The sequence below is a fragment of the Homo sapiens genome, chromosome 9 (assembly GCF_000001405.40).
Source record: "Homo sapiens chromosome 9, GRCh38.p14 Primary Assembly".
Classification (NCBI taxonomy): domain Eukaryota; kingdom Metazoa; phylum Chordata; class Mammalia; order Primates; family Hominidae; genus Homo; species Homo sapiens.
The window spans coordinates 77,070,794-77,088,876 of record NC_000009.12 but is presented as its reverse complement, the minus strand read 5'-3'; the positions used below and the strand labels follow the sequence as shown (position 1 = coordinate 77,088,876).

The window sequence follows — 18,083 nt, the reverse complement described above, 5'->3', positions numbered from 1 at the left end:
CACAGAAGATTTGAAATCAGTTTGTCAAAGTTCATTACAACACTATTCACAATAGCCGAGTTATGAAATCATCCTAAATGCCCATCAACAGATGAATGGATAAAGAAAAGGTAGTATGTATCTACAATAGAATCGTGCCCAGCCTTAAAAAGAAAAGAAATTCTGTCATTTGTGACAACATGAATGGAATTGGAGAGCATTATGCTAAGTGAAATAAGCCAGGCACAGAAAGGTAAATATAGTACCAAATGTTCTTATTTGTGAAATCTAAATTAATTGAGCTCATGGAAGTAGAGGAGAATAGTGGCCACCAGAGGCTGGGGAAATAGGTGGGAATGGGGAGATGATAATCAAGGGGCACACAAAATCTCAGTTAGACAAGAGGAGTATGGGTTTCTCTTTTTTCCATTGCATGGCTTGGTGAATATAGCTAATAATAGAGTGTTGTAAATTTCAAAAATGCTGAGAGTAAATCTCAACTGTTCTCACCACAAAAAAGTTACATATTTGAGGTGATAGATATGTTAATTAGCTTGGTTGACTTATTTCACATTGTATTCATAAATCATAACATCACTTTGTACCCCATAAATATATACAATTAAAAATGATCGGCCGGGCGCGGTGTCTCACGCCTCTAATCCCAGCAGTTTGGGAGGCCGAGGCGGGCGGATCACAGGATCAGGAGATCGAGACCATCCTGGCTAACACGGTGAAACACCATCTCTACTAAAAATACAAAAAAATTAGCCGGGTGTGGTGGGGGGTGCCTGTAGTCCCAGCTGCTCAGGAGGCTGAGGCAGGAGAATGGCGTGAACCCGGGAGGCGGAGCTTGCAGTGAGCCGAGATCGGCTACTGCACTCCAGCCTGGGAGACAGAGCGAGACTCCGTCTCTAAATAAATAAATAAATAAATAAATAAAAATGATCAATTTACAAGTAAAAAAAACACACACAAAAAAACATGGTCCTTCACTACAGATTATTTGAGAAACGCAGCTTTACAAATTTGATTTGTAGCCAAAAAAATAGATTATTCTCTGAGAATTAAACTATAAAATGGTGTATATGATGAGCATTCAGAGTAAGACAAAGTCCCCTTAGAGAGACTGATGCTTACCCAGGCTTTACTGATAGCACAGTATTAACATAACTAAGGAAAGAATGTGTCTAAGCTCCATCCTAGAAGGAATCTCAGCTCAGTCATTATGGCAAGGAGGAATATCTGGAAGAGTTCCTTAAAAATGCACAATATCTGACTCCCCCAACTCTGGGTTCACGTTCACCAAACAATCTTTGGGCTCTAACTGGGCTTCCTGTATAGATCACCCACATGGAACCCAGGCTAGTCACTCAGGGAGTCACCTTGTCTACATCACACTGGTATTTCCCATGCTTTGGTTTTATACATCAGGTTTCAGAGCTTGGTTAAGTAGAAGTGGAGTTGAAGTCCCCCAGCGAAATATTGTCTTGGTAAATTTGCCAGAGAATGCCAGCTATACAGTCTCATGTCAGATCACTGGCCGTCCTCCTCTCAGGGTAGTCCTATGTACTGAGCACATTCATCTAACATTTCTTTCTTTCTTTCTTTCTTTCTTTCTTTCTTTCTTTCTTTCTTTCTTTCTCTTTCTTTCTTTCTTTCTTTCTTTCTTTCTTTCTTTCTTTCTTTCTTTCTTTCTTTCTTTTTTTTTAAGACAGTCTTACTCTGTCTCCCAGGCTGGAGTGCAGTGGCGCGATCTTGGCTCGCCCAGGCTGGAGTGCAGTGGTGCAATCTTGGCTCGCTGCATCTCTACCTCCTGGGTTCAAGCAATTCTCCTGCCTCAGCCTCCCGAGTAGCTGGGATTACAGGTGCACGCCACCATGCCCGGCTAGTTTTGTATTTTTAGTAGAGATGGAGGGCTTTCACCATGTTGGCTAAGCTGGTCTCAAACTCCTGACCTCAGAAGATCGGCCCCTCTTGGCTTCCGAAAGTGCTGGGATTACAGGCATGAGCCACCACACCCAGCCTCGTCTTGAATTTCTACAGGTGAACAGGATGTCAATCATGAAGGGTCTTGGATGCTAAGTCAACTTGTTTAATGAACACATTCAGAATCTATAGAAAACCAAAATATAAAATAGAGGTGTTACCACGGTCCCATGGCTACTTAGTACAAAAACACAGACTATAACCCAAGTCCCTGAACGTCTTGTCTAATTGCTCTGAAGATTGAATCAGATTCTGTGAGAGCATCACTCCTATCATCAAAAGTCTTTAATAATAGTAATTATTGAATGCTTACTGCTGCAAGCACAGGACTAATCATTTTATGTAGTATTGTTTAATGCTTTGAAATGGTAACTTTATTATTTCCATTATACAGAGGATGACAGAAGAAACAGAGAGACTAAGTAATTTGTCCAAGACCACAAAGTTAGTAAGTTTTGAGGGCAAAATTCAAACCTAGGCTCTCTGACATACCCCAGCTTTCAACCGCTATTCTGTTCTGCTCTGCTTTTTTGTTTTTCAATACTAGCTATTTCTGTTGAACCAGAAAAATTGAGGATCATAAGTTTTTGCCTCTTAGAACCGAATCCAGATGGCGTTAAGAATGGAAACCCCATCCTTTAAGTATGTTGCAAGATATGTTCAGACTCTAAGAAAATCTAGAGAGAAGCTATTTTAATTTCAAAATCAAATTTTGATTTGATTTTGAGTTTTGTGGTTTAAATTTATTTTAAATTGGCATTACATATTAGGGGAGTACCATTATGTTTTCACTGTTCGGGTCACTGAAGTCCTTAAATCATCTCTGAATCTAACTCATTCTTTTTAATGCCACATCCGTTTCACAGAAGTCCCGTATTTATTTAACCAGTCCCTAATAAGTGGCATTTACATTATTTCCCACTTATAATTACAAATAAGGTCATAAGAAACATCTGCTCTGTTTCTGTTTATCTTTGTTTACCTGTAGGCATGTATCTGTATTTATGGGTATCAATTCGTACTAATCTAATCTTCAGTTTTTAATTCTGATGTTTCCTTGTCAATTCAAGCACTTTCTGGTAGAAAGATGAGAAAATAGAATTTCTGAGATCACAATATTAATTAAGGTTCTAGAGAGAGGAAATAGTTCCTTCTTTCATTGCCCTAGAATTTAACTCCAGGAAATCTTATTGGGAGAACACATCTCCTTGTACTTAGAAAACAAGTTTGGGAGTCTTTCACACAGATATAGTTGGAGAAGTCTGCAGTCCTCCAGGGCATCTGACTCATCTGTAGATACTATCATTACACACTTTCCATTCTGCCTGTTTTTTCTTTTCTCTCCAAACATGTAGTCCACAGATGCTAGCAAATAAGGGAGAAGGGCAAGATTCCCCATCAGGTGTTTTTATTATAATAGACCTGGTGAGATACATTGGCTTTTCACTAGGATGTGGAAGGGACCGTTAATTTTGAGCCCTGAGTCGTAGGACAGCCTTAGAGGTGAGAGTCCCCTTACATTATTATGAGATTCCTTTAAAAGCTCATAGAACAGGACCCATTCAAGACTGCTGCTTGTGCTGCCTTACATTGATTCTACTTTAGAACAAATATTCATGTTAATACAAGAGCCTATTATGTTCTATAAGCGAGCATAAATCTTTTCCTTAGAGAACACACCACTATATTAACCAATTTGGATATACACAGCAGAGGGCAGAACTTGTCTTGGAGTAATTAATTTGTAATTAGTCAGCTAAGGGTGTGTGAGTATGAATGCACATGTGCAAATATACTGGCCTTCAAACATTCACCCCGAGCCTCCTGCGTAGATGACACTACCCCGGTTGTGTAGAAAAGAGGAACTCTTCGAAATCTGGAACTCAGAATTTCTACGTCGCTGTCTTTTCTTAACCTCAAAAGAATGTTTTTTCTCCAGAAATTAAATCTACTTTGTATCCACTCCTATTTTCAAAACTGGGTAGCCACGTTGGGACCTCATGTTTCTTGGAGAATTTGCTGTTTCCACAGAGCTCTGATCTCTGATGGCTTTGTAAAGAGCGACGGCTCGGTCTTCAGCACATGCAGCTTACCTGATTAGTTGTCATTAAAGCTAATGTAAGACAAATACTCATCTGGTAAGGAGAGTGCCTGTAACTTTAATAATGCCTGAGGGAGTATGTATGACCTCACACCTCCAACCCAGACATTGTTTAACCATACCCCACAACTTGTGAATTTCAATTATTTGTTCAGAGGAGCCATTCATAATTGCCTGGTATAAGCCTGCCTTTAGGATGCAAAGCAGAAGACAAATGAAAATGCTACCCGAGCGAATCAGGGTAGCAGCACTTAAACATATAAATGAACTAGGCCTCTTTTCACAGCTCCCCCTTTCTATTCTGAGAGGTTTCAGTCTGGTGACATCAAAGGCAGGATTATGGGTGAAGATAAAAACTTGATCTAATGTCCATGTTTGAAGTCATGAAAGTCCTCCTCTCTCCGTGGCAAAATAACCCTCTTCATAACACACACACACAAAAACCGGGGTCCAGGTGCAAAGGGGTTGGGGGTAGGATGAGGATGGGGGAAGGCCACAGGAAGGCCCTGGCTTCCTGAGGCTGTAGGAATAACTAAGTGTTAGAGCCCCGTATTGCCAAATGTGCTAATAGATTATTTGTAGGCTTGAGCTGGCTTTGTTCTGCAAATTAATATGTTAAGTCTTTCTTTTAAGCTTGTGTGATGTTGGCATGGTTCTTTAATGAGATTTTAACTAGATTTCCTTTACTATCTGCAAAGACTAGAAGAGATTTTTTTTAATGTTGAAGAAGAGTGATCTCTAACTTCAATGCCGTTAACCAATATTTCCTTTAATGCTATTTGTCAATCAGATGTCTTGTCCAGTAACAAACTATAGTATTTGTGTCCACTCTGCACCGATGGGATATGAAGCATATGTATTTACAAGGTTCAAGAGAGATAGGTTAAGGCGATAGGCTTGAAAATTTTATAATGAATAGTTTTTTGGGGGGTAGGCAAAAGTTTGCGGGAGGAAAGTATACATAATTTGAAGGTATCACCTTACTTTGTAATTCATAGAAATTGTTTGAGATGAATACAAACCTCGGTCCTCAAAAAGTATGTGCAGCTGCATTGCCTGGCTGCACAGTCAGGAAGATTTATTTTCAAAACTCCGCAAGCTACAGGCCCATGATTTTAAAAGTCTTTAGTCCTTTAAGCAGTAAATCAGCATTCAAGTGGCTGGTTAATCTCCCAAGGGCCAAAATGAAGTGCTCTGACCTAGATTATAACAGACTGACTGTTAGAAAACTCTTTCGGTAAGACCAAACCTAGGAAGCATGAAGTATAAACAGAGCCTGCAGATAAAAATTGCTGTGTTGGAGTCCTTCGTCACCTTCTCCTTGTCTCCTTTGAAGACTCCTGTGGACTTGAATCAAAAAAATAAAATAAAATAAAATCTTTTATTATGGGGAGTTGGTACCAAGTATTACAATTTTGTCTGACAAACTTAGTTTTTTAGGTTCAGCAACCATGAAAAGCCCTTAGCTCCTGTCTGAATTCTCAGCCTTTTCAGCTTGGAGATCTCATGGACTCTGTGTTACTACTGTCTGTACTTTTGCTCATCTATATTTTCAGCACACATTCAAAGCGAGAAGGCCACACATCAATGCAATCCATCACACCAAGGGATACGCTCCATTGTGAACAATGGCTCTGCCTAACAGTTGAAGAGGCCTTTAATCTCCTCGTATTTATCTAAGTTTACCAAAAAATTAAACCTCCTAGTTTACCCAAAGGGTAGGTCTTGGCTATGTGTAGATATTACCTTTTTCTAGAAAAGTCAGATTCTAAGAAGTATAGATGTGACAGAATCTTCTCTTTTCTCTCTGGAGGTTCAATATTTGAGTTTCAGAAATAAACTCGGCAGCCAGGCACAGTGGCTTATGCCTGTAATCCCAGCACTTTGGGAGGCCGAGGCAGGCAGATTACCTGCGGTCAGGAGTTCGAGACCAGCCTGACCAACATGGTGAAACCCCATCTCTACTAAAAATACAAAAAAATTAGCCAGGCGTGGTGGCAGACACCTGTAATCCCAGCTACTCAGGAGGCTGAGGCAGGAGAATCGCTTGAACCCGGGAGGCAGAGGTTGCAGTGAGCCGAGATTATGTCTCCGTACTCCAGCCTGGGCAACAGAGCAAGACTCTGTTTCAAAATAAATAAATAAATAAATAAACTCAACAGTAGACACATTAACAGGACAAAAGGGATACAAATGTATTATGTGCATACACACAGGGCTCCCACAAAGTTTGAGACTCAAAGAAGGCCAGATGGGTTGAAGCTTAAATAGCATTTTGAGCTACAGAAAGAAATAGGAGCTGGGGGCTCCTAGGGGATGATGACAACAAACTATAGGAGGGTGAGGAGAGGAACCGCACTGCCAACAAAGGTTGTCTTAATGTGCAGATAAATTCTCTCAGGTAGCAGCTCTCAGAAGGATAGGTGAAAAGTCTGTCTGGATGTGGTGTCCTGGGTATAGACCTTTAGTCTCTTTTCCTGAGATATGAGTTTTGTTGTTGTTGTATTGTTTTTTTGTTTTTTTTTTTTCTGAGACCGAGTCTCACTCTGTCACCCAGGCTGGAGTGCAGTGGCACGACCTTGGCTCACTGCGACCTCCACCTCCCAGGTTCAAGTGATTCTCCTGCCTCAGCCTCCCAAGTAGCTGGGACTACAGGCATGTGCCACTGTGCCCGGCTAATTTTTGTATTTTTAGCAGAGATGGGGTTTCACCATGTTGGCCAGGCTGGTCTCGAACTCCTGACCTCAGGTGATCCGCCCACCTCAGCCTCCCAAAGTGCTGGGATTACAGGCATGAGCCACTGCGTCCGGCCTACCAACACCAGTTTTATCTCTCCACACATTTCCTCTATTTTATGTTTATGTCTTTACCTTACAGGTTATTTGGTTAAATATGATAGAGGTCAATTATTTATTTATCCTGTTACAAAAAAATGTGTCAGCCTTCTGATTTATACTTTCAAAGACATTTAAGAAAGTTAGGACATTCAGGCCAGGTGCGGTGGCTCACGCCTGTAATCCCAGCACTTTGGGAGGCTGAGGTGGGTGGATCACGAGGTCTGGAGATCGAGACCATCCTAGCTAACATGGTGAAACCCCGTCTCCACTAAAAATACCAAAAATTAGCTGGGCGTGGTGGTGGACACCTGTAGTCCCAGCTACTCAGGAGGCTGAGGCAGGAGAATGGCGTGGACCCGGGAGGCAGAGCTTGCAGTGAGCTGAGATCGTGTCACTGCACTCCAGCCTGGGCAACAGAGCGATACTCCGTCTCAAAAAAAAAAAAAAAAAGAAAGTTAGAAAGCTAGGACAAACAACTTATAGAAATGGTCTGCAATGAGTATTCAGAGTATAAGTCACATACTAGAAACCAGTAAAATACTCTTGTGTCTAAGAAATAGTCAAGAAACTTGCCCTTTTGCTGCTTATATTCACAGTTTTCCAACTTTCATCTTCAAAATCTTTACAGTTTTGGACTGGTCAGTCAAAGTGCAACCAGACCTATATAATATTTATTCCTTTTCCTCAAAAATCCTCTGTGGCTGGTATACCATATGAATTACTGTGCCTTGAGTGTTGCCTGTCTGATGGCCTCAGGTAAATCTTTGTAATAAATTCTTGTGGGGTCCCATGGAGCTGTGGTGTTTGCCTGCATGCCCCATTGCCAAATGACAACCATGGGTCAGGCATTCTTTCCCGGGTGACTCATAAACCAACATACACGAGGCTGGGTGCAGTGCTCATCCCAGCACTTTGGAAGGCCGAGGTGGGCGGATCACCTGAGGTCGGGAGTTCGAGACCACGCTGACCAACATGGTGAAACCCTGTCTCTACTAAAAATACAAAATTAGCCAGGCATGGTGGCGCATGCCTGTAATCCCAACTACTTGGGAGGCTGAGGTAGGAGAATCGCTTGAACCCGGGAGGCGTAGGTTGTGGTGAGCTGAGATCGCACCATTGCACTCCAGCCTGGGCAACAGAGCGAAACTCTGACTCAGAACAGAAAACCAAAACCAAACCAAACCAAACCAAACAAAACAACCCAACATAACACAGTCTGACAATATTTCTTCCAGGCCTGGTGCTTGATCGTTGCTAATCAGTGGGAACACAGAAAGAAGATGGGTCATGACTTCTTCATATTTCCTAATTAATTGCAACCACTATGAGACGTAAGAACTTGAACCAGAGTGATTTAGAGAGCAAATTTGGTCTTCCCAATCCCCAGAGTTAGATCTTCCATGATGGTGCATTCTTCCTGTCCGGCTGCTGCTGTAGAAATTCCTGCAAAATTAAAGGCAAAGGTTTTCATTTCCTGATGGGGTTCTGGAGGCCACTGTGCTGTGATTTTCAGGAGAAACAGGGAGAGAACGACTGTAATTCCTCGAGAGGCCCTGAAAGGTCACCATACCTGAGTGTCCTTGAATTTATTGTGGTAGAGATGGTAGGGGAGGGCTCACTTGAAACATTCTCCCATCAGGGTAGTTTTTAGAAATTCTATGTCTCAGCAAGACTAACTGTTTAACATGTTCTCCATACCCTGGATTACCGAAATGCAGCTTTCACACTCTCATTGAAACTGTCTTTGCAAAGATTAAGACAGGCAGAAAAGTCTAGCATGGCTGACTCCATCTTGCTTCTAGCCTCACAGGCTGGCTGTCTTCACTCATTCCTAGGTGTAGGCCAAGCTAACGATGGGAGGAATTTAGTTTGTAATTTAACTTTGAAACAGGGATAATAACAGCCCCTCCCTAAAACTGCTCCCCTCCTTTTTCAGGGGCTGAAGCTGCCTTTGTAAAACTAATGAAAGGCCACAAGATTAGGATCATGGGAAGAGCCTGAATTCTGCTAAAACGTAAGTGAAGATTCTATAATCCCTTACTGCTCAGGAATCATGTGGCTAGAGGTCACAAGATTTGCGACTTCTCCAATTGCTCCAGTAGATAACATCACTATTGTAGAACCTAAGATTGGTCTTTTGAGATGTTTTTCAGACTAACCCCACCTGGACTCATGATTCAACCAGTCCTGTGGCCCCCAACCCAGAGGGAAACAGCGCACAAGGACCGTTTTCCACACCCCTATGATTGCGTCCCCAACCAATCAGCTGCACTTATTCCCTCTTCCCCTGCACACCAAACTATCCTTGAAAAACCCAAACCTCTAGGCCTTTGGGAAGAATGATTTGAGTACTAACTCTGTCTACCACATGGCTAGGCTAGTGTCAACTGAACTCTTTCTTTACTGCAGAAATAGTCAAGAAACTTGCCCTTTCGCTGCTTATATTCACAGTTTTCCAACTTTCATCTTCAAAAATCTTTACAGTTTTGGACTGGTTAGTCAAGGTGCAACCAGACCTATATAATTTTTATTCCTTTTCCTCAAAAATCCTCCATGGCTGGTATATCATATGAATTACCCTGCCTTGAGTATTGCCTATCTGATGCCAATCTATTGCCATCAGGATGTTGCCTATCTATTTCACAGTCTCAGTGAATTGTTTTTTGTCTGTGCAGTGGGCAGGAAGAACCTGTGAGACGATTACATCATTTTCTCAAGTTCTCAACCTATCAGGAGCTGAAATGCCACTTGAAGCACACACTATGCCAGATATCAGGAAAGGAGTAGAATTGGTAGTTAAAGCAACTGGAATTTAGATAGAGAAACAGCAGTCACCATTAATAAGGGTTGCCTCTCTAGTGCCGTCTCAACTGATTCTGTATAATTTTTCTGTCTACTTTATCAACAAGTGAGGGATGGGTGTTGAAAAATCTCCAACTACAATTATGGATTTATCTATTTCTCCTTTCAGTTCCATTTTTGGTTCATGTATTTGGGAGTTCTCTGCATTAGTTTTGAATGAGCAAATCCTGCCATTTTCTTGAGGTTATATTATCAATGGTATTAGGAGGTATAAAAAGCAGAAGAGGTTTAGAAACTTTAAAAAACAGAATAATGTCAATTAGAAACTGATGATATTTATTATCAAAATCTAAAACCAAGTTTCTTCATCAGACCAAGAACTAAAGTTTGTGTGTATGAGAGTGTGTATGAGTGTGTGTGTGTATGTGTGTCATGGTGCACCAGAAGCAATCTTCTCCATTTGTGTGACAATGTAAACAACAGTCACAGGAGTTCTACTGCAGAAGGTTTGTGTAACTTCCACCATTTCCATCAATAAGAGGAAACAAAAAATTGTGTGAGATCTAAACACAAAATTGTATAAGAAATAAACGTATAAAGCTATGACTCCACTTACTTTATTATAATCTTTTTGGGAAAAGATAAATTTGGATCTATACCTTTTAGTGTATATTATGTGTAAGAAAGGGGTAAGAATGCATATATATACTTGTTTAACTTGTAAAATGAAACTCCAGAAAGATGTCAGAAAATAATAAAAATAGTAACCTATGGAGCTTGAGGGGAAAGGGATGGAAGTGAGATTTCTTTAAGAATATCTTTTTTTTTGTTTTTTTTGTCTTTTTTTTGAGATGGAGTTTTGCTATATTGCTGAGGCTGGAGTGCAGTGGTGCAATCTCAGCTCACTACAACCTCTGCCTCCCAGGTCCAAGCAATTCTCCTGCCTCAGCCTCCCAAGTAGCTGGGATTACAGGTGCGTGCCACCACACCCAGCTGATTTTTGTATTTTTAGTAGACACAGGGTTTCACCATGTTGGCCAGGCTGGTCTCTGACTCCTGAGCTCAGGCAGTCCGCCCACCTCGGCCTCCCAAAGTGCTGGGATTATAGGCATGATCCACACCTGGATGTACGTTTATGTTTAATTGTGATAAAATACACATAACATAAAATTTACCATTTTAGTCATTTTTAAGTGTACAGTACAGGAGTGTGAAGTACATTCACATTGTTGTGTATTCAATCTCTAAAACTTTTTTCATCTTACAAAGCAAACCTGTTAAAAACAGCTTCTCATTCTTCCCTCTCCCCAGCCCCTGGCAACTACCATTCTTCTTTCTCTCCCTATTAATTTGACTCCTTTAGGTACCTTAAATAGGTGAAAGCATACAGTATTTGTCTTTTTGTGTCTGGCTTATTTCACTTAGCATAATGTCCTCAAGTTCATCCATGCTGTAGCATGTATCAGAATTTTCTTCCTTTTTGAAGCTGAATAGATATTCCATTGTATATATACAACACATTTTGTTTCTCCATTCATCCAAAAGACACTTGGGTTGCATCAATAGACCTTTTGGCTATTGTGAATAATGAAGTTAAAACATGGGGGTAAAAATATCTATCTGTTCAAGTCCTTGATTTCAATTTTTTTAGGTATATACTTTTTCACATACTTTTAACTCTGAACTTTGTGTGTATTGTCTGTAAAAAATTAAGTTAATTAAAAAGAAAAAAGCAAACCCTACAACAAAAATCAAGCCCTCGAGTTGAAAACATAGGAACCTATCAAACTGGTATTATAACCACAAAAGCCCTTTACAGAGGAACAAAAGGCAATCAATACAAGAAAGAATGGTGAATGGAAGGATCATCAATGGATTATAAAGTCATTAAATGAAAACATGTTGTGGAACAATTCATATTAATGGTGCCAAATTATAACCCCCCAATTTTTTTTTTTTTTTTTTTGGAGACGGAGTCTCGCTCTGTCGCCCAGGCTGGAGTGCAATGGTGCGATCTTGGCTCACTGCAACCTCCGCCTCCTGGGTTCAAGCAATTCTCCTGCCTCAGCCTTCTGAGTAGCTGGGATTTCAGGCGCCTGCAACCACACCCGGCAATTTTTTTGTATTTTTTTGTATTTTTAATAGAGATGGGGTTTCACCATGTTCACCAGGCTAGTTTTGAACTCCTGACCTCAGGTGATCCACCTGCTTTGGCCTCCCAAAGTATTGGGATTACACGCATGAGCCACTGTGCCCGGCTAAGATTTCTTGATAATTTCAAAGAAAAAGAAATGTATTTATAAGGGAGAGAACTCATTGTCCATCACCATAACCAATGCCCACACTCAGAGCAGAATGACATACCTGACATTGTGTCCTTCAAGAATGAAATCATTACCTACGAAGTATTCTTGGCGAAAGAATGTTAAACCAAGATATATCTAGGCCCTTAAACTTCTAGTTCACAGGAAATATAAGAGCTCAGGAATGAAGTCAAATGATGCCAAGAGTAAACAACCTAATACACACAGAATGTGGAACATTCTATATAGAAGAACTTCTTGATACTTTCAAAATGTCAATGCTATTTTAAAAAAAAAATGGTGGGGGGGTGGGGAGGTCGGGCGCAGTGGCTGACGCCTATAATCCCAGCACTTTGGGAAGCTGACGTGGGCAGATCACCTGAGGTCAGGAGTTCGAGACCAGCCTGACCAGCATGGCAAAAGCCCGTCTCTACTAAAGATATAAAAATTAACTGGGCGTGGTGGTGCACTCCTGTAATCTCAGCTACTTGGGAGGCTGAGGCTAGAGAATTGCTTGAACCCGGGAGGCAGAGGCTGCAGTGAGCAGAGATCACGCCAGTGCACTCCAGCCTGGGTGACAGAGTGAGACTCCATCTCTAAAAATTTTTTAAAAAATTAATTTTAAAATTAAAAAAAAAAGGAGAGAGGGGGAACTGTTAGAATAAAAGAGACTAAAGCAATACAACAACCAAAGGCAATGCATATATATTGTTTTAACACTGGTGCAAAAAAATCAGCCATAAAAGACAATTTTGGAACAAGTAGAAAAATTCAAATGTAGACTGAGTGTTGTAGGATATTAGAAAAATACTGTTTATTGCCAGGCCTGGGGCTCACACCTGTAATCTCAACACTTTGGGAGGTTGAGGCGAGCAGATCACGAGGTCAGGAGATCGAGACCAGCCTGACCAACATGGTAAAACCCCATCTCTATTAAAAATACAAAAAAAAAAAAAAAATTAGCTGGGCATGGCGACACGTGCCTGTAATCCCAGCTACTCAGGAGGCTGAGGCAGGAGAATCACCTGAACCTGGGAGGCAGAGGTTGCAGTGTGAGCCGAGATCGCGCCACTGCACTCCAGCCTGGCAACAGAGCTAGACTCCGTCTCCAAAAAAAAAAAGAAAAAGAAAATAAAGAAAAATACTGTAATACTGTTTATTTTCTCAGATGTGTTAACAGTACGTGATTATGTAAGAGAATATTCTTATTCTTCTTATCGTACAGATATATTCAAATATGACAAAATATGTTAACATCTCTGTAGTAGGTACATGGGTGTTGAATCTGAATGATGTGTCTAAGGCTGTTCATTGTACTATTCCTTTAAAATTTTCATATTCTCTGTATGTTTAAAGTTTTTTTTAATGACATACACTTGAAAAAGTAAAAGACTGAGCTTTGAGAATCAGTCCAAAGGGCATATCCATATGCGCTGGCAGAGGTTCCACACTGAAATTCCACACCATGGAATTCTCAGTTTAGCCATAGAGAGGAGATTTGAGACCTAGAAAGTTAATGCTTGTCTAGATCTTCTTTTCCCAAAAAGAGATAGAATTCAGTGACTGCATTTTAATTTTAGGGCTCCAAACAAAAGTTTCAGAAAGGGACTTTTTAGCCTTTACTAATTGTAAATTAATCAGCTCTCCAGTGGTGAGAAGGTCTCCTTCTTTCTTCACCCACCAGCCCCTCCCCAGGATTTATGCTTTGGTCAAGAATGAGACTTTTTTTTTTTTTTTTTTTTTGAGATGGAGTTTCGCTCTTGTTGCCCAGGCTGGAGTGCAATGCTACGATCTCGGCTCACTGCAACCTCCGCTTCCCGGGCTCAAGTGATTCTCCTGCCTCAGCCTCCCGAGAAGCTGGGATCACAAGCATGTACTGACACCCCCGACTAATTTTGTATTTTCAGTAGAGACGTGGTTTCTCCATGTTGGTCAGGCTGGTCTTGAACTCCCGACCTCAAGTGATCCGCCCGCCTCAGCCTCCCAAAGTGCTGGGATTACAGGCGTGAGCCATTGTGCCTGGCCTAAGAATGAGACATTTTATAAAACCCAGAAAAGCTCTTAAAGAACAAAACATGGTTACATAGTTGATAGTGATGAAAAGAACACTGGCATAATTATGGTCTGTAATATTTTGAAGGATGATTAATACTTTTTAGTTATTGCATAGAATGGTTGTGTGAAATAGTAGTTAAGAGGATAGGCTCTGGATTTAGACTGCCCGGGTTCAATACTGGAGTCTCTCACTTAGGTACTGTGCAAGATAGGAACTGACCAAATCATCTTCTGTGCATATAAATGAAGATAATGGTAGTACCAACCTCATATTGTATGAGAATGGGAATGATAAACAAGGCATGCAACATTATTAGCACAGTTCCTAGTGAAAAGTAAGTCCAGAAATGTTAACTATTATTCTAATTCTTACTCACTGAAGGGAAGTGAACACTTATGAATAAATGAAAAAATAGACCCCTATGGGGCTTCAAAACATCAACAGGCAGGAGGTACATTTTAACCACTCAGTAACTTAGCTTAAGTTTACTGTGAATTTATTTCCGTGAACTTCCTGAGGATTTTTTCAGCACAGACCTGGCACCACTTGTCCATCTCCAGCATCCTGAGGGAAGCTGGAGTTACAACACTGTAGGGAGAGCTAAAGAATTACAATGTCCTTTGACAACGTGGAACAGTGATGCTCTGTTTCACTAGCTTAGTGTCTACAGAATGAGCTGTTCACCCTCTCAGTGTGAACTGTTTTCGTACTTCTTCCCAGCAGGTGCCAAAATGTACAACGGTTGCTAAATTATCTGAATGGTTGTTGGAAATAAAAACTATTTTTAACGGCATTTATTATTTCTTGTCTGAGAGCTTATTTCAAATACTTTAGTATTCCTGGCAGGTGATATGGCATTATGATTTCACTGATTACGCACCGAGCACCCAAAGACACCAATTTAGCTTCTGAAAGCTTCTAGTTTACCTATTAATATCTATCTATCTATCTATCTATCTATCTATCTATCTATCTATCTATCTACCTATCTACAGTTATCTTGAAATACCCCCACAAATAAGCAATACAATGAGATATGTGAATATCAGATCTTCCTTTTTATATTGCTACTGTACCTATCACAAATGCATTACTATTTAAAACAAAATTTTTTTTTTAAATGGAGTCTTGGTGCGAAGCCCAGGCTGAAGTGCAATGGGGCGAACTCGGCTCACTGCGACCTCAGCTTCCCGGGTTCCAGCAATTCTGCCTCAGCAGCTGGAACTACATGCATGTGCCACCACACCAGGCAAATTTTTGTATTTTTAGTAGAGACAGGGTTTCACCATATTGGCCAGGCTGGTCTCGAACTCCTGACCTCAAGTGATCCACCTGCCTTGACCTCCCAAAGTGCTAGTATTACAGGCATGAGCCACCACGCCCAGCCTAAAATTTTGCCAACTCAAGCCCTGGAACTCTGTTTCCCAATATTTTTGGATGATTACAGTTTCATCACATAACTGTGTTCTTTATTCTCAAACTGTGGCTGGGTCCTGCAAATTACAGCTACAAGCCTATGCCTCTGCAATGATTGAGTCTCTATTGATTTAAAAGCGGCAAGGAGGAAACTTTGCTGAATCGTTTCAATGGTTGGTGTCAATAGAAAGTCCTTACTCAATGTCTCCCATTTTGGGCAATACATGTATTTGAACTGACGATGGAAAGTCAATTATATGTACAAAAAAGCATATCATATAATGCCAACTTTGTTGTGGTTTTCAACACCATAATATTTCTATAGTCCATGGTGAGGTCTGGATTCAACATCTAGTCCAGAATGCTGGCAAAATCAGACTTGAAGGAGTGTCCCATACACATGTAACCATTCCCTTTCGTTCCCTTCCCAAAAACCACATTGGTCCTCTGCCAGACATTTAAGGCCTTTACATGTCTCCCCTAGAAAGTTACACGTGGTTGCAATCCATCTTATGCCAACTTTCTCTTCTTTTATGGGGTTCTCATATGGGGAACCATGAGTTCAAGAGTCAAAGGACTAGCTTGGAACTTCATATATCAGGCAGGACTGCAACGTGGTGATTATCTTTGAAGGATAATTACAGATGAAGCAAAATAAATTTCTCAATCACGTTCTTCCAGGCATTCTGACCATCTTGAGTCATGACATTAGCTTTTCATTATAAACCTTTCCTGTTTTTTTTTTTTTTTTTTTGACAGAATCTCACTCTGTTGCCCAGGCTGGAGTGCAGTGGCCCAATCTCAGCTCACTACAACCTCCGCCTCCCAGGTTCGAGAGATTCTCCTGTCCCAGCCTCCTGAGTAGCTGGGACTACAGGTGCATGCCACCAGGCCCAGCTAATTTTTGTATTTTTAGTAAAGATGGAGTTTTGCCATGTTGGCCAGGCTACTCTTGAACTCGTGACCCCAAGTGATCCACCTGCCTCAGCCTCCCAAAGTGCTGGGATTACAGGCATGAGCCATCACGCCCGGCCTTAAGCCTTTCTTAAACATTATCTTGTACTGGCAAAGCTCAAGATTGGTTTCTGAATGATACCTATTCCTCCAAGAGCAAGGTGCTGAATTCTTCTTTGTGTAGTTGTTCAGTACAGCTATAGAGTTGTTAGCCTATTTTACCTCTAGATGGCCATAGAGAAGTAGATGTGACAGTCAATGTTCACTGATAAATTTTTGAATGGTGCTCAGGATGTTCTGATGAGAAATGTGGCTGGTATTTTTCAACCCGGACAAGGTTTGTACTACTGTCTGCCGTGAGGGTGATCAGCTCTGAGTGGACCCAAGAAAATTGTTATGTTCCTAACATGTCCTCACAGTTAATAATAGATCTCTGAATATGTTATGTTTCCAATGTGTCTTCACAGCTAATAATAGAACCCTGACATTGTCACATGAGTGTAAGCAAACAAAAAACACCTCCTCTGAAATCCTACCATCCAGAGATTGTCAAGAGATTGTCATTGTAGGCCCGGTGTGGTGGCTCATGCCTGTAATCCCAACACTTTGGGAGGCTGAGGTGGGTGGATCACCTGAGGTCAGGAGTTCAAAGCCAGCCTGGGCAACATGGTGAAACCCCATCTTTACTAAAAATACAGAAATTAGCCAGGCGTGGTGGTGGGCAGCTATAACTCCACCTACTGGGGAGGCTGAGGCAGGAGAATCGCTTGAACCTGGGGGGTGAGGGGCAGAGGTTGCAGTGTGCAAAGATCACGCCACTGCACTCCACCTTGGGCAACAGAGCAAAACTCCATCTCAAAAAAAAACAAAAAAAAAATAAAAAAAGAGAGAGATTGTCATTGTAAACATTTTGGTATAAATCCTTGCAAATTTTTTCCAAATCTTTACCTTCTTTGTCTACCAACATATCACAAACATCTGTTAAAAAATTATATATATATATATATATATATGATTTCATGGCTATATAACATTCCATTGAATCACAATTAATTACCAATAGCTAAAACTTATTGGAGCTAATGATCAAATATCTGATCAACCAATATGTGGATGTTTTCTTTGAAGAAGGAGTTTACTGTACCTTTAGAGACGTCCTGCTCCTACTGTTCCACGGTCACCTTCCCAATATTCATCACCACTCTTGCCTATCCACCAGGTTCCATTGAAAGGACACTTCAGACATTGGCTCCAGAAACTTTTTGGAAAGTAGGACAGAAATTAAGGTATCCTATTAAACTATCCTAGGATTAGTCATTTATTCTATTTTTCCATCTTGAGTTATGCCCTACTGATATGGTTTGGCTGTGTCCTCAGCCAAATCTCATCTTGAATTGTAGCTCCCATAATCCCCATGTGTTGTGGGAGGGACCTGGTGGGAGGTAACTGAATCACGGGGGCATTTTTTTCCCATGCTGTTCTCATGTTAGTGAATACGTCTCACGAGATCTGATGGTTTTTAAAAAGGGCAGTTCCCCTGCACACGCTCTCTTGCCTGCTGCCATGTAAGATGTTTTTCAGGGAAATTGAATGAACCCAAAGAACAATGGCTGGGGACAAAGTTCCTCTGAGCTCTAGGGGAGGTG

The 18,083-nt window shown here is 41.0% G+C and overlaps 1 pseudogene, besides 2 other annotated features; it reads right to left on the bottom strand.

Moving 5' to 3' along the window:
• Positions 818-1,400: an enhancer, noted in NCBI's record as "NANOG-H3K4me1 hESC enhancer chr9:79702393-79702975 (GRCh37/hg19 assembly coordinates)". NCBI's record gives its function as "activates a minimal SCP1, AML or CMV promoter by ChIP-STARR-seq in primed H9 embryonic stem cells {active_cell/tissue: H9 hESC(primed)}" and the evidence as "EXISTENCE:reporter gene assay evidence [ECO:0000049][PMID:30033119]".
• Positions 7,659-8,858: an enhancer, noted in NCBI's record as "P300/CBP strongly-dependent group 1 enhancer chr9:79694935-79696134 (GRCh37/hg19 assembly coordinates)". NCBI's record gives its function as "activates an origin of replication core promoter dependent on BRD2, BRD4, P300/CBP, MED14 and CDK7 cofactors, with strong dependence on P300/CBP, by STARR-seq in HCT116 cells {active_cell/tissue: HCT116}" and the evidence as "EXISTENCE:reporter gene assay evidence [ECO:0000049][PMID:35650434]".
• RFC5P1 (replication factor C 5 pseudogene 1) lies at positions 15,585-16,199 on the bottom strand (annotated as a pseudogene).